The sequence below is a fragment of the Homo sapiens genome, chromosome 6 (genome assembly GCF_000001405.40).
Source record: "Homo sapiens chromosome 6, GRCh38.p14 Primary Assembly".
Taxonomy (NCBI): Eukaryota; Metazoa; Chordata; class Mammalia; order Primates; family Hominidae; genus Homo; species Homo sapiens.
The window spans coordinates 168145193-168159709 of record NC_000006.12 but is presented as its reverse complement, the minus strand read 5'-3'; the positions used below and the strand labels follow the sequence as shown (position 1 = coordinate 168159709).

The window sequence follows — 14517 nt, the reverse complement described above, 5'->3', positions numbered from 1 at the left end:
TGTTTGCTCTCTTTGTGTATAAACAGACTGGAGAGTTTAAATGGCCCAAATTTACAGAGGCACTGAGTGGCGGAGCTGGAATTTAAACTTAAATCCATCTTGGCAAAGCCCAGATCTTTACATCACATCAGTGGTCTTCAGCCGGGGTCTTCAAACATAGCACTCAGAGTGATGAGTGAGAAGATAATCACGTGGCCGTGCGTGGTGGCTTACACCTGTAATCTCAGCGCTTTGGGAGGCTGAGGCAGGTGGATCACCTGAGGTCAGGAGTTCAAGACCAGCCTGACCAACATGGTGAAACCCCATCTCTACTGAAAATACAAAATCAGTCAGGCATGGTGGCACATGCCTGTAGTCCCAGCTAATCGGGTGGCTGAGGCAGGAGAATGGTTTGAACCCGGGAGGCGGAGGCTGCAGTGAGCCAAGATTGCACCACTGTACTCCAGCCTGGGTGATACAGTGAGACTCCATCTCAAAAAGAAAGAAGATAATCACGTGTGTGTGCGCGGGTGTGTGTGCATGTGTGCCTGTGTGTGCGTGTGCATATGTGCTTTGTGTGTGTGCGTGTGTGTGCATTGTGTGTGCACACATGTGCGTGTGTGTGTGTGCGTGCATGTGTGTGAGAGTGCGTGTGTGTGTGTGTTCACTTCACTGGTAGTTTTTTTAAATTAGTGATTATAAAGATGAAACTTTTGATGTAAACATTTACAGTTGAAAGACATTTTAATAGACTGGCTTTTTAAAGTCAGTGTTAAATTTTTTTTTAAGTCAGTGTTTGTCAACATTGAACCCATTTTAAGCGGATTCTTACATGACTCAGCTTTGAGACTCCAGGCACCATTGCACCTGCCCCACGTGCTGAGGGCTGGCATTCAAAGACTTCTTCGAGTGTTTGTGCAGCCAGCCCCACCATGCCAGGGAGAAGACAGACACGGTGAGCATTTCCGGAGCTCCACCTCTTCGCCTTGTGGGAACACTTCATTTGGAGAATCAATAAAATCCAGCATTTTGCACCTACTTCCTTTACCAAGCCCATGCTCCGGCAATGATAGGAGAGGGTTAGCTGCTTTTGTAGAAAACTGTTTGCTTAATCAAAAACAAAAAACAACTAGATTACTAAATCACTTCGCGTCTTGCTGGGCGGCAGAATCTGTCACGGCAACGCCAATTGATTTTTTCCAGAGGGCAGATGTGTCCATTTCAGAAGCGCTGGGATTTGGTTTTGTCGCTTTCCTCTGCCCTGTGGGGGCTGTTGCTTTAGCTGCAGAAGCTGGAAGCGGGTCTAACCCATCCCTGTGGTCACGTAGCAGTCTGTGGAGTCTTGGCTCCGTGGGACCCTCTGCTTGGCGACACCTTCCTGCTTGAGGGAAGATGACCAAATTAGGAGCAGCTGCTTCCACTTCCAATATAACAATGTAGGAACATGTTCAGCCCACTGTGTTTCACGGGCTTGCAAATATCTGCCTTTGTTAAAGGAGACAGAGGGGGTCAGCCCCCTAGTGAAGTGATGTTACAGTGATGAGCTTTATGCAGTTTAACCAAATGGAAGGATGACTGGGTGAAGTATGTTGACTTAGAAATCAAACAGTTTCTCCAGGTTTACCAAGGCTCCTGAAAATGTGAGTGTTTAGCAACCATAGACATCTTTTCTCCAAAACGCCTACTTCACTGCCTTTAAAGGAGACCTCTCTTTTGAAGTCTCTGCAGCTTTTATTCTAGGTCGTCATGTAACACTGTTGGCGAGCCCTCAGGCAGGTGGGTAGGTCCTGCCTTGAATACCAGAGCTGAGCTCTGGGAGCCGGGGCAGGGGGGACCCTGGGCCCTTCTCTGGGGGAGTGGAGAGCGGCAGCCCGTGCTGTGCTGGCTATGCACTAGTCAGCACAAACCCATAAATGAGAGATTAGCCATCTGACAGCAAAGCTGAAGAATAAATCTCTGGTGTTTACAAGGACGTTTTAGAACAGTGAGTAATGCAGAAGTGTCTGCTCCTCTGAGTCAGGAAGACTGACCCGCAGGGAGCCACAGCTTACAGACACGAAAGCAAAGGACCGTTGGCAAGCACGGATCAATACTACTGCTGGGTGGGCGGCTCGTCCCCAGGTTATTTTTTTTTTTTGGCAATGCCTGGCAAGAGCTTAAAGCAGTCAGAAGAGAAGATGGCCTCATCTCTGTAAGTGCCAGAAAAAGTGCGTCAAATGAGTCAAGTTTAAAATCACACCTAAGGTATGTTTCAGGAAGTGACTGTTGTGCTTTGTAGGATGTTAGCCTCCTCTCGGTCTTCTAAACCCTTCCTCACCAGGCCACACTCCAGCTGTATGAGCTGCAGTCAGACCTCATTTTAGCCTGGGAATGAGAGGGCTGCCAGACGCTCTGATAACCTCCACCTGCCAGGGGCCACCGAAACGTGGAAATGTGGCTACTAATTCAGGATGTTTTCAGTAATTTGAGTCTGGCTTATCCTACTGTACAACATTTCCCCCTGGAACTGCCATTTTACACTGAAAAGGCTGAGGCTTAACATGGAAATGACTATGGAATTCATACCTGAAGAGAGTAGTGTATCTGAAAGTAAAGCCCAGGACTCCTGAGGGACAACATTTTCCTGGAACTCATCTCATCTGGGCGGATTCCTGGGCACTGATGCTGTTGGAGGGTGGATAAATCTCCATGACGGTGCTTCGGGATTGACAGTGATGTATGTGTTGTTAGGCCCGAGGGCTCTCTGTGCACATGGCTTAGAACATCTGGACGGTACATGCATCAAGCATCTGGGCTTCTGAGCAAGGCATACCTCCTGGTCACAAGGTGGCTGCAGCCTGCTGACCACCATGTCGGCAGCCACCCTTCCCCATCACCTTTGCCACTGCCCCGCCCTGTGCCCGTGGCCTTGCTTTTCCTCTGCCCGGGATGTCCTTTAATGCAATTGCAGGTGCTGAATGTAGACGGGAATTGCTTCCCGAAATCTCGTGACTTCACTTTGCCAAAAGGAGACAGAGGTGGAGATTATAATATCACTTCTCTAGGGAGGCTGAACCCTCTGCCTCCTCCTATAAGAAAGGCAGACATTTGCAAGCTCATGAAAGCTATTTAATTCATTTTGAGAAGTTGAATTGCTTCCTGAAGTCTCATGACTTTACTTTGCCAAAAGGCAACAGAGGTCGGCAAAAGATGAATCGTTTCTCTGTATTCAGCTGGGACAGGATGGAGGAGGAGTCCTGATTTGAAGCATTTGTCAACTTTCAGGGTGCAAATTTTTCTCTCATGACCACTTCAAGCTACCTTAACATCAGCCTCTCAAACTTCCTGAATGTTTAGCTGATAGGAGCCTGCTCCAGTGCACCTGACTTTGCACTGACCCAGGAACACAGTACTCAAAAGGCAGGATCCTCCACCTGCCAGCTGCCATGGACGGCTCCTACGAGGCAAGAACTGCAACACAGCGTGTGCACCAGGGGGATGCGAGATGCAGCAACACAGGGTGTGCACCGGGGGGATGCGAGATGCAGCAACGCAGCGTGTGCACCGGGGGATGGGAGATGCAGCAACACAGCGTGTGCACCGGGGGATGTGAGATGCAGCAACACAGCGTGTGCACCGGGGGTTGGGAGATGCAGCAACACAGCGTGTGCACCGGGGGGATGGGAGATGCAGCCTGGGTGGAGCCCGGGAACCCAGGACAGAGTCCAGAGATCGGTCTCGCCACATGAGCATTTGATAAACAAAGTCACACTCGGCTTACCGTGCGCATGGGCTGTTTGACCAACACAATCAGTGTCCTGTTTTCCTGTGAATTATCATTGAATTCTGATGACATAATTATTTTACAATCTTTTTTGTTCTAAAAATGATATTCGTCTTCAAAGAAAGCAAAATGAGATCACAAAAACATAGAAAACGCCTTCTTTATGTTGAATATCACCAAATAAAAGGCGTGCTTGGCCCTTATTTTAAACCACAAGGAGTACATGTCCAAATACTGATGGATGTTTTCACTCTGCTATATGAATTCTTCAGGAGCCGACAATGAAATTAGATCACTCCACTTCATTTGAAACATCTTTCACAGACAGCAAAGCAAACACACTGATTGTTTTTTTTTCTTAATGGAATGTATAATGTGTTTTGTTAAAATCAATTGAAAACATCTATGTTCACAACATATAACAAGACAACATGTGTTCAAAACACATGGCAAGATGTCCTTCTTCCTGCAGTGGAGCTTCTAACCAGGCTTCTTACCAGACACCTGAGTGGGAAAAGACTTTGAGGATGAGAATGAGTCACTGTGACTCTCTGGTGAACTGTGCGAGGCTGGAAGAATGTTTGGGAGTCCTGGGATCCATCTCTTGCCCAAACGCTGAGTCATTGTGAGGCTCTGGAAAAGGGGGCACACATGCCCCCCTGTCTAGTTTCTCCATCTTCTGATGGGCCATGGTCATCTCTGTTCATGCAGGTTAAGGAGCGGAAGGTGGTGCGCTACAGAAAATCCCCAAAGCTCACTGAAACTGGAGGCCCCGCCACCCATGACTGTTGTCAGGGGCCTGGACAAGGGAAGCTACTAAGGTGAGGACACAGCCCACTCTGAGCCTGATTCCCAAAAGGGCTTGGCTTCTGTAGGACTTAATCATTGGAGGGAGTAACACAGTGGCAGCGATACCCCAGACCTGTGAGAAAGAAAAGAAAATGCCTCTGTCTGTGGCTTCCCCAACTTCCCACAGAGGTTGCAGTCATGCAGATGAACAGCTCAGCATGTCAGTACCCGCTTTGAAGAAATGGGAAGAGTTCTTGCATCTGAAAATCACCCAGTCCCCCAGTTACCATTGCACTGGCCCACCATGCAAACCCTGCAGTTACCATCAAACTGGCCTGCTATGAAAAATCCCCAGTTACCATCGCACTGGCCCGACATGCAAATCCCCCAGAAACCATCCAGCTGGCCTGCCATGCAAATCCCCCAGTGACCATGCACTGGCCGGCCATGCTGTCCCATCCTTCTGCCTTGTGCATGCCCACACTCGCCTGCTGTGACTTTTTCAGCCACAGGTGCTGCCCTGTGCACACACACTCACACGCTATAACTTTCTCATTCATGGATGCTGCCTACACACTCTGCACTGTGTTGAATGAAGTTTAGCCTAAAGCTGCCTTCTTACACATTTTACATTTGGCCTGAAGGTTTCTGTGTACACAGCGAACTGTCACCTAACTGGACATGGAAACAGACCTAACCCACTCTTGTACCAATCACAGAGTTTCAGCCAATCACAGGCAGCAAACTGTTCGAACTGTGTTCAAAAGGGCAAACACTGAGCTGTAACTGACCAGCTGTTTCTGTCCTTCCTCTCTGTTTTCTGTGCCTCACTTTGCTTTTTTGTCCATAAATTTCTTTCCACCCCAAGGCAGTGCCAGAGTCTCTCTGAGCCTATTCTTGATCAGGGGCTGCCTGATTGGTGAAGCATTTTTGCTCAATTACTCTCTTAAATTTAATTTGTCTATGATTTTTCTTTTCTTTTTTTTGAGACTGAGTCTCACTCCATTGCCCAGGCTGGAGTGCAGTGGCACTAATCACAGCTCACTGCAGCCTCGACTTCCCTGGCTCAGGCGATCCTCCCAACTCAGCCTCCCAAGTAGCTGGGACTACAGGCGTGTACCACCACACCACGATAATGCTTTTTTAAAAAAAATTTTGGAGAGACAGGGTTTTGCCGTGTTGCCAAGCTGGTCTCAAACTCCTGGGTTCAAGCAGTCCTCCCACCTCAGCCTCCCAGAGTGCCAGGATTACAGGCATGAGCCACCGTGCCTGGCCTTGTCCAAGGTTTTTCTTTTAACAGTTGTCTCACAGACATAACACCCATAATTAGGAACATCATTCTGAAGCATAAAATCCAATTATATGAAGTGAAACTTAATTGGAAATAAGACGTTCATTATAATCTCACTGGGATAGTCTGGGCTTTTTTACAACGTGCGGTTTATGTGCTTAGGAGGCCATATTTTTTCTTTTTCTTTTAAACAACCTGCTCATCACTAACAGGAGGGGCCAGAACCGCTGTGGTGAGAACCGTGTCACGAGGGAGAGATGCTTCATTTTTCCACTAGAACGAAGTTCTCAAGAGAAACCACATTCACTGCCGTCTAATCCACGAGCACACGTGTCATTTCATTGTTGTAGGTTCACCCCTGCAGATGATCAGCTTAACACTTTGCTGAAAGGCCCTGTTTTACGTACATATCAATGGTGCCTCTGTGGAAACAAGTCTAAAATATTTGTAAGAATTTAAAATATACTGCATTGCACTAGCAAAGCCTAGTTATCATGGCAGTGACTTTTGTTCTGACGGGCAAAGAAAGAGACTTAGACATCAAAGTGTAAGTTGGATCCTTACCTAATGTGCTCCCTTTAAGTAGTTCTCCCAGCTGTGAGCAGGAGCTACACACTGTCCATTCACTAGAATCGCTGTCTTCAAGGATGGCCCTAAAAGCTGGTCACTTGCAGAGGTTCATAGAGCATCTGTTCCAAAGCTCAAGGTCAGGAACTCACTTCTTCAAAGCTGAAATGCTCTGTCTAGTGCTCTGTGGTCTTCGGGCTATTCATTAGCAAGCTCACGCTGTTCTGTGGGGCCAGGGCTGGGTGTTTCCTCTTCAGTGTCGTTTAACCCTGCTGGGTTTCAAGATCCTCACCTAGAAAATGAAGGAGTCATTTTACGTGGTCTCTAGGATTCCTCCTACCACAATTTGATGAAGTTAAAATTCTGTCTGAGAAAATGCAACTGGTGGTACCTGAGACAGGCAGCAGGTCATGATCGTGGAGCTGGGGTGACACATGAACACCAGTGTGTTTTCTGGCACGGAGCGGGCCTCGGTAAGCAGGCCGAGGATGGGGAGAAGAGACACAAAACCTCCCTCGACACGCTCCTGCCGCTGGCGCTTCTGCCAGCTGAAGAGAGGGCATCGCCTCTGGCAACAACACCTGTGATTTCAGGGATGCTCCTGAAAAGATAACCCCAAGAACCTCATCAAGTAATCCGAGCAACTCTGCCAGGAAAACTGCAAAGAAGAGAAAGCAACCCACAAGACGGCAGTGGAGCCCGAAGACCCTCCAACGTGCGTTAGAAAGCTTTCAGCTTGGGGTCCCCACATAGCTGTAAATTCTCTGCTTGTCGTGCTTCCCATCTGAGGTCATAAAATCCCAGGATGAAAGCCAGAGCTTTGATTGATTGCCAAGCTGAGATGATGTGGAATTCAGTAAGAGAGAAAACATTCCTTTCCTTGCCCTAAACGTCCAGGGCAGGACAAATATTTATAAGATTTAGCACTTAACCCATTTCCATGGCTCAAGATGCATTATTATGTCTGTCCCAAGTAAGACCACATGTTGCTTTGTGACATTACTAAATCGTGGGAGCCCTATGAAGCTGAAGTTTAAGGAGAGACGATGACCCATGTCGTTGGTGTGAAATGATGTGACCCACTATATGTTGCATGGTCTAGACCCCAAATCCAAGGCCTAATTCACCATTCACCTCCATTCTGGTTTGCCTGGAAGCTCTCTGCCAAGCAACAGAGCAGGAACGAGGCAGCGTTCCCTGCCTCCACTTCCCAGTCTGTAGAGAAGGAGGCCACATGTTATCATAGCCCACCTGCCTTTGAGTCTCTACACTTTGTTGTTATTTCAGACAAATTCTGCAATAAACATCTCTGTGCAAATGGGCTGAGTTGCTGAGTCAAAGAGCAAAAGCGTTCATCATTCTAAAAGATACTGCCAATTGAGCTCCAAATATTAGGCCAATTTACCCTCCCCCAATGGTAAATGAGAGTCCCTTCTTGCACCTCCCCTCGCCAGTTATGGGAAGGGTTTACCTCTCTACCAATGGATGCATGAAGACTGACTTGACGTCATTTGAACAAACTATCCTTAATCATGTGAGGTTCAGTATATTTTTAAATATTTAATGGCTCTTCGTCTCTTTCTCTGTATCTTTGGCCATTTTTCAATATTTCATTCCTTATTAATATGTATGTGTATTGGAATCATAAGTCTTTTATTTTCTTATTTGTTAAAATATCTTTTGCTAGTTGAATGTTTGTGTTTGACTTTGTTTACACACTTCTTCCTGTCAGGAATGTTTTTATTTTTATATGGTAAATGTTGTCAACTTTTTCTTTTATGTTTTTTGGGATTTGGGTCATACCTTCCCTACCCCAATATTAATCGTATATTTTTGTTTTCCTTCTAGGATTTTATGGTTTCATTGTTAAAAGTTACACCGTGATCCAGTCAGACTTAGTTTTGGTGCAAGGAATGAAGTATGCTGAGGTGTTATCGGAACTTATAACATTTACTTCCTGCAGTTGTAAGAGTGTCAAGAAAACTGTGAGTTTTTGAAAGGAAAAAACCAAGAAACTACAGATTTTCTATGATAGATTTTTTTCCCTTTTAATCAACTCAGAGAACTCAATGAACAATTCCCTCCTGCTAAGAAAAGTCCTGTCTACACGGTACCCTGGGAGGTGCGGGTCACCCGTGTATGGGACTCAGAGCTGTGCCTGGGCAGGGATCTCCGCCCACATGGCACCCAGGGCATGACAGAGGCCTCAAGACGCCCCCTCCTCAACTCGACGTCCAGCCGTGCCTCAGGGTGCCATCTGCAGGCTCAGACTGCCACCTGCTGTGTGCACAGGCAAAACAAGCCGAACCAAAACAGGTTTCGCCTAGAACACCTTTGACTATAGATAGAAATCATCACTACCTCTAAGGTTTTTTTCTGCTTTAATTTTTTTGCAGTAAGAACACTTAGCATGGGCTCAACCCTCCTCACGTAACTGTAAGTGTTGACCTCACGGTGCTGTTCGCTCTGGGGACAACGTTGCACAGCAGATCGCAGAGCGTGTGCACTCGCGTCCCTGACACTCACTCCCACGGAACAGCAGACCCTCTCCTCCCTGCCCCTGCCTGGCTCCCGCCACTCCACGGCTGCCTCTGTGGCTCCGGGGACTCTAGGGGCCTCACGCAAGAGGAATCACACAGTGTTGGTCTGTTTGTGATTGGCGCATTTCAGCAAGCAGAACGTCCTCAAGGTTCACCTCTGCAGGTGACATGGGTGAGAACGGCCTTCCCTTTTAAGGTCGAAGCATATTGCATTCTCTGTCTGAACGTTTTCTTGATCTATTCATCTGTTGACACAGGTTGATTCTGTATCTTGGCCACTGTGAGCAGTCCCACATTGCACATGGGAGTGCAGACATCTTTCTGAGATCCTGATTCCCATTTTTTGGATAAATTGGAACCTTTGCACACTGTTGATGAAGCCACTGTAGGGAGGGCGATATGGAGGTTCCTCAAAAAATTAAAAACAGAGCTAACAAATGATCCAGAAACTCCATTTTTTGTATTTTGAAACCTACAATGTGCCAGGCACTGTGGTAAAAACTCTCCCGGCTCCACAGCAACCTCTGTAGGTGGGTTCAATGGGGACCCAGCTCGGAGTCCTCAGAGACTTTCTGTGATGCCACAAAACCCTGTATTTTAACATTTAACACCATGTCAAAGGACACAGAGATCCCATTCAGAAATGGAAATGCTGGGGAGAAAATCGATGTTTGAGTGAATCTTGCCACCAAGAGGAATATCACCCTGTGTCAGATGAGCACGTGCCCCACCCAAGTGTAAGGACAGATGCGCAGGTATTAATTCTCCCATCAATTCCTCATCGCTCAGTTCTGCGTCCAATCTGCTGTGAGACTGAGATGTTTTAAATATCCTCAGAGAGAGGCTCACAGTCCCATCATCTGCTAATCCCCAGCAAGCCTTCCCTCCTTACGCTGCGATTAAGTGCACGGTGCTGATGACAATGGAAATGACGTTGGTGACAAAGTCGGCTTCTGTTCATTGAGTGCTCTCACAACCAGCCGACATATACTGTGTCATTTAAACCTCGTAACATCCCTATGAAGGAGGTGGCCCTGTGATTCTCTTCATTTTACCAATGAGGAAACTGCCGTAAAGAAATTAAGACCTTTACCCTGAGATACACACATCTAGGAGTGACCGCAAGAGGTTAGCCATTTTAATCATTCCTTTGCCACATTTAATCCTGGACATCTTATACTTTCCATAGATGTGTGGCTCAGAGAATAATGAGGCTTCAAATATTAAGCCAATGAAGAAATTATGGAAGATATTTTTTCAAAGCAAGGCAAAAATTACAGAATGCCCCTCAAAGCCGAATGTGAAAGGCATTCTTACTTCTGTTACTTAGGGTGATTCACGCATTGTTCTCCTTCAGAAGAGATATTTGGAATTTCGTTCTAGAATGCTTCCCTAGTCTTCTCCCCATTTCAAAGCGCAGCACATAACACGTTTCTTAGTTCCACACCCCCTTCAGTGTGAGAGGTTTATAGTGCTATGTCTCATCTACATCCGCCACTCCATCTGGTCAGGAGAAGCCACTGCGTTTGAGGTGATTTGTTTCAACAGCCGTGGGAAATGCATCCAGCAGGGCCAGGTCCGGGTGGGGCTGGGGCCAGCGGCTGCTCCATGTTCCCCCGGTGATTCTGAGATTCCACGTGGAGACTCCAGGGCTGGGAGACCTCTAAGCCTGTGTTAAACTTGTATGATCCGTGTCATTTGGAAAGGAACATGATACTCTCGACTTGGAGACGAAAAAGCACCTATGACAGGAACCCGTTTTTGGAATCTGTATTTCTATCACATCACTTTTTTTTTTTTTTTTAGATGGAGTCTCACTCTGTCACCCACCCAGGATGGAGTGCAGTGGTGCGATCTTGGCTCACTGAAACCTCTGCCTCCCGGGTTCAAGTGATTCTCCTGACTCAGCCTCCTGAGTAGCTGGGACTACAGGCATGTGTCACCACACCCAGCTAATTTTTGTATTTTTCTATTTTTAGTGGAGACGGGGTTTCTCCATGTTGGCCAGGCTGGTCTCAAACTCCTGACCTCGTATCACGTCACTTTTGACTTATGTTGTTTGTGTTTCTCTCACCTCTTGCTAGGCTCCTGAACTCTGAAGTCGGCAAGACTTCACATGTGGTCTGTGCATGTGCTTCAGATGCAGTCGGCACTCACCACATGCGTGTTCAACATGACAAATATTAGTTTAGTGTCTACCACAGGCTGAGCATCCTGAAAATTCAAAATCCGAAATGCTCAAAATCCCAAAATTTTGTAGCACAGATATGCCGCCACAAGCAAAGAATTCTGCATTGTCTTCATGTGACAGGTCACAGTCAAAACACAGGTGCAAAACACACCGTTTATTCAGCAAGGGGGCTCCAGCGTATGGTCACCTTTTAACCAAGCCCAGCACTGTTGGTGGATACTGAAGATGCCGCTGTTCCCTGCAGCTGCTGTCTGATGGCTGATGCCACCATGCTGCTACTAACCCTGGACTCGTTACTCTTCACTGTTTTAATGGGATGGAGTGTTCCTTACTGTCACGTACTCTGTGTAAGTAAGCGTGAGGAAAGGACTGCTTATTGGTAGCAGATAAATTCAGAGCCAGGAGAGATGGTGATGTGAAATATTCCCAGCTTATCCGTATATGTGGCTGAGATAGTGGCACCTTTGCTTCCTGATGGTTTGATGTACATGAATTTTGTTTTATGTCTCAAATGATGTAAAATGTATAAATTTACCTCTAGGCTATGTGTATAAGGTGTACATGAAGCATGCATTTGGGCTATGTGTACACGGCGTACATGAAGCATGCATGAATTTCATGTTTAGACTTGTGCTGGACCCTCAAGATATTTTACTATGTATATGCAAATATTTCAAAAGTCTGAAAAAACTCTGAAATCTGAAACACTTCTGGTCCCAAGCATTTTGAATTAGAAGTTCTCAGTCTGTATGAGGCAGGATTGGAAGAATGAGTCCCGGATATTCTGCACACCATTTGGGAAACCTGATCTTCCACGATAGAAACCACCTCCCTGAGTCTGCGTGAACCTCTGGTAGAAAATGTATAGAGGAAGAAAAATAGATGCAGTGCTTTTCACATGCGGTTATCAAAGCTTCCATCCAGTCCACCCAGAGAAAGTGGGCAGTCCTGCCTGGGAACGCCCATCACAGCCACTCCAAAAGAGCTCAGTTTCCTGCTGCCCACATGTTCCCAAGAGCCAATGTTCTCCAGCCCCTAGAATCTTTAATTAGGCTCTCTAGATTGTCACAGGAAGAGTGATTAGTGGAGCCACCTCCCAAAAGGTTCCCAGTTCTCAGTGGGAATCCAATACTGTATATTTACATTTGGGGTGGGAAGGAGATTAGGTTAACCTCCTTTGATATTTTCACTTAATCTTCAAAGCAATCACAATATTATTAGATCATTCTCAAGATCACTGCTTTGCTGTTCTATTTAATCCAAGCAATTTGATTAATGGAAGGGTTTAGGATGGTCTAGGGCCTGCTGTGAGCCAGGCTGTTCATTTAGCGAGTGGAGCCATAATGGATATGCCTGCCAGGACCGAAGCCCTGGGGACACTTCCTCTCTTCTCATTTCCAAAGCAGGACTTCTCAATCCTGTTTGGATTATTAACTAGACACGAGTCTTTTATGGAGTTGATATTTTTTGCATATTCAGAAAAAATGGATCACCGTTGGGGGCTGCATTGCTGTCAGGAAGGTGCAGAATGAGGCCACTGCCGTCAGGAAGGTGCAGAATGAGGCCACTGCCATCAGGAGGTGCAGAATGAGGCCACTGCCATCAGGAAGGTGTAGAATGAGGCCACTCAGGTGTCCTCAGGCATCTTTCCTTGGCACCGTGGTGAACCTGCCCTTGAATAGACCCACATCTGAGATCAAGGCTGCTCCAGCTCAGCCTGATCATGTTGGGCAAAAGCCCCAGCCCAGCTGGAAACTCCACACTTTCCAGAGCTGTCTCAGCACAAGAGCACCGCCCTGAGGCAGGAGAGTTGCTTGAACCTGGGAGGTGGAGGTTGTAGTGAGCCAAGATCATGCCACTGCACTCCAGCCTGGGCAACAGAGCAAGACCCTGTCTTAGGATAAAAAACAAAACAAAAAAAAAACAACAAGTGCCCTGTTGAAGGACGTGGTCCAAGTAGGAGCCATTACCTACTGACAGAGGAGCCGTTGGGCCCTGAAGGAGCGGTAGAGATACCCAGGAGTTTCAGGCCTTGGGTGAGACTCAGAGACGTGCTGGCTTCAGGTGTGACCTGGCACATTCCCAGCTGTGGTGGCTACAGGGCAAGACTCCTTCTGCTTGAGAAAAACAGAGAAAAAATAAAGGGGACTTTGTCTTGCACCTTAGGTCCCAGCTCAGCCACAGTGGGACAGAGCACCAAGCGGGCTCTTGGGGTCTCAATTCCAGGCCTTGGCTCTCAGGCAGCATTTCTGGACCTGTCCTGGGCCAGAGGGGAGCCCCCTGCCTGAAAGGGTGAGTGCCAGGCCAGGCAGCATTCACCACAAGCTGACTGAAGAGTTCCTGGGCTTGAAGGGAGCACTGGCAGCGGCCTGGCAGTATTCCCGTGGGTCTGTGGTCGTGGTGGCCATAGGATGCAGTTTCTCTCCCTGCAGAAAGGGCAAAGAAGAGGGGGAAGAACTGCATCTTGTGTTCTGAGTGTCAGCTCAGCCACGGCAGAATACAACGCCAGGTAGACTTCTAAGGTTTTCTGTTCCAATCCCTGGCTCCTGGATAGCATCTCTGGATCTGCCCGGGGCCTGGGAGAACTCATTGCCCTGAAGGGAAGGACACAAGCCTGCCTGGCTTCACCACCTGCCGATTGCAGAGCCGTAAGACCTTGAGCAAACATAGGCAGTAGCCAGATAGTGGTTATAACAGGCCTTGGGCAAAACCCAGTGCTGTGCTGGCTTAAGGTCTGACCCAGTGCCGTCCCAGTGGTGGTAGCCATAGGGGTGCTTGTGTCACCCTCCTCCCAGCTCCAGGTGCCTCAGCACAGAGACAGAGAGACTCCATTTGTTTGGGAGAAAGTAAGAGAAGAGAATAAGAGTCTCTGCCCTGGTAACCAGAGAGTTCTTCCAGATCTTATCCAAGACCACAAAGGCAGTACCTTTGTTGTCTCTAGACAACAAAGTCTATAATAAATACCTATCTCTTCAATGCCCAGACACCAATGAACGTTCACAGGCATCAAGACCATCCAAGAAAACGTGACCTCACCAAACAAACTAAATAAGCCACCAGGGACCTATTCCGGAGAAACAGATATGTGACCTTTTAGAGAAAGAATTCAAAATAGCTGTTTTGAGGAAACTCAAAGAAATTTGAGATAACACAGAGAAGGAACTCATAATTCTATCAGGCAAATTTAGCAAAGGGATTGAAATAACTAAAATTATTAAAAAGATTCAAGCAGAAAATCTGGAGTTGAAAAATTCAATTGACATACTGAAGAATGTGTCAGAGTCTCTTTACAGCAGAATCAATCAACCAGAAGAAAGAATTAGTGAGCTTGAAGCAGACTATTTGAAAATACACAGTCAGAGGAAACCAAATAAAAGAACAAAGAAGAATGAAGCAT

The 14517-nt window shown here is 47.0% G+C and overlaps 4 annotated features.

Moving 5' to 3' along the window:
- Positions 1065-2063: an enhancer, noted in NCBI's record as "NANOG-H3K27ac-H3K4me1 hESC enhancer chr6:168558327-168559325 (GRCh37/hg19 assembly coordinates)". NCBI's record gives its function as "activates a minimal SCP1, AML or CMV promoter by ChIP-STARR-seq in primed H9 embryonic stem cells {active_cell/tissue: H9 hESC(primed)}" and the evidence as "EXISTENCE:reporter gene assay evidence [ECO:0000049][PMID:30033119]".
- Positions 2064-3061: an enhancer, noted in NCBI's record as "H3K27ac-H3K4me1 hESC enhancer chr6:168557329-168558326 (GRCh37/hg19 assembly coordinates)". NCBI's record gives its function as "activates a minimal SCP1, AML or CMV promoter by ChIP-STARR-seq in primed H9 embryonic stem cells {active_cell/tissue: H9 hESC(primed)}" and the evidence as "EXISTENCE:reporter gene assay evidence [ECO:0000049][PMID:30033119]".
- Positions 3062-4061: an enhancer, noted in NCBI's record as "H3K4me1 hESC enhancer chr6:168556329-168557328 (GRCh37/hg19 assembly coordinates)". NCBI's record gives its function as "activates a minimal SCP1, AML or CMV promoter by ChIP-STARR-seq in naive and primed H9 embryonic stem cells {active_cell/tissue: H9 hESC(naive and primed)}" and the evidence as "EXISTENCE:reporter gene assay evidence [ECO:0000049][PMID:30033119]".
- Positions 8753-9389: an enhancer, noted in NCBI's record as "H3K4me1 hESC enhancer chr6:168551001-168551637 (GRCh37/hg19 assembly coordinates)". NCBI's record gives its function as "activates a minimal SCP1, AML or CMV promoter by ChIP-STARR-seq in naive H9 embryonic stem cells {active_cell/tissue: H9 hESC(naive)}" and the evidence as "EXISTENCE:reporter gene assay evidence [ECO:0000049][PMID:30033119]".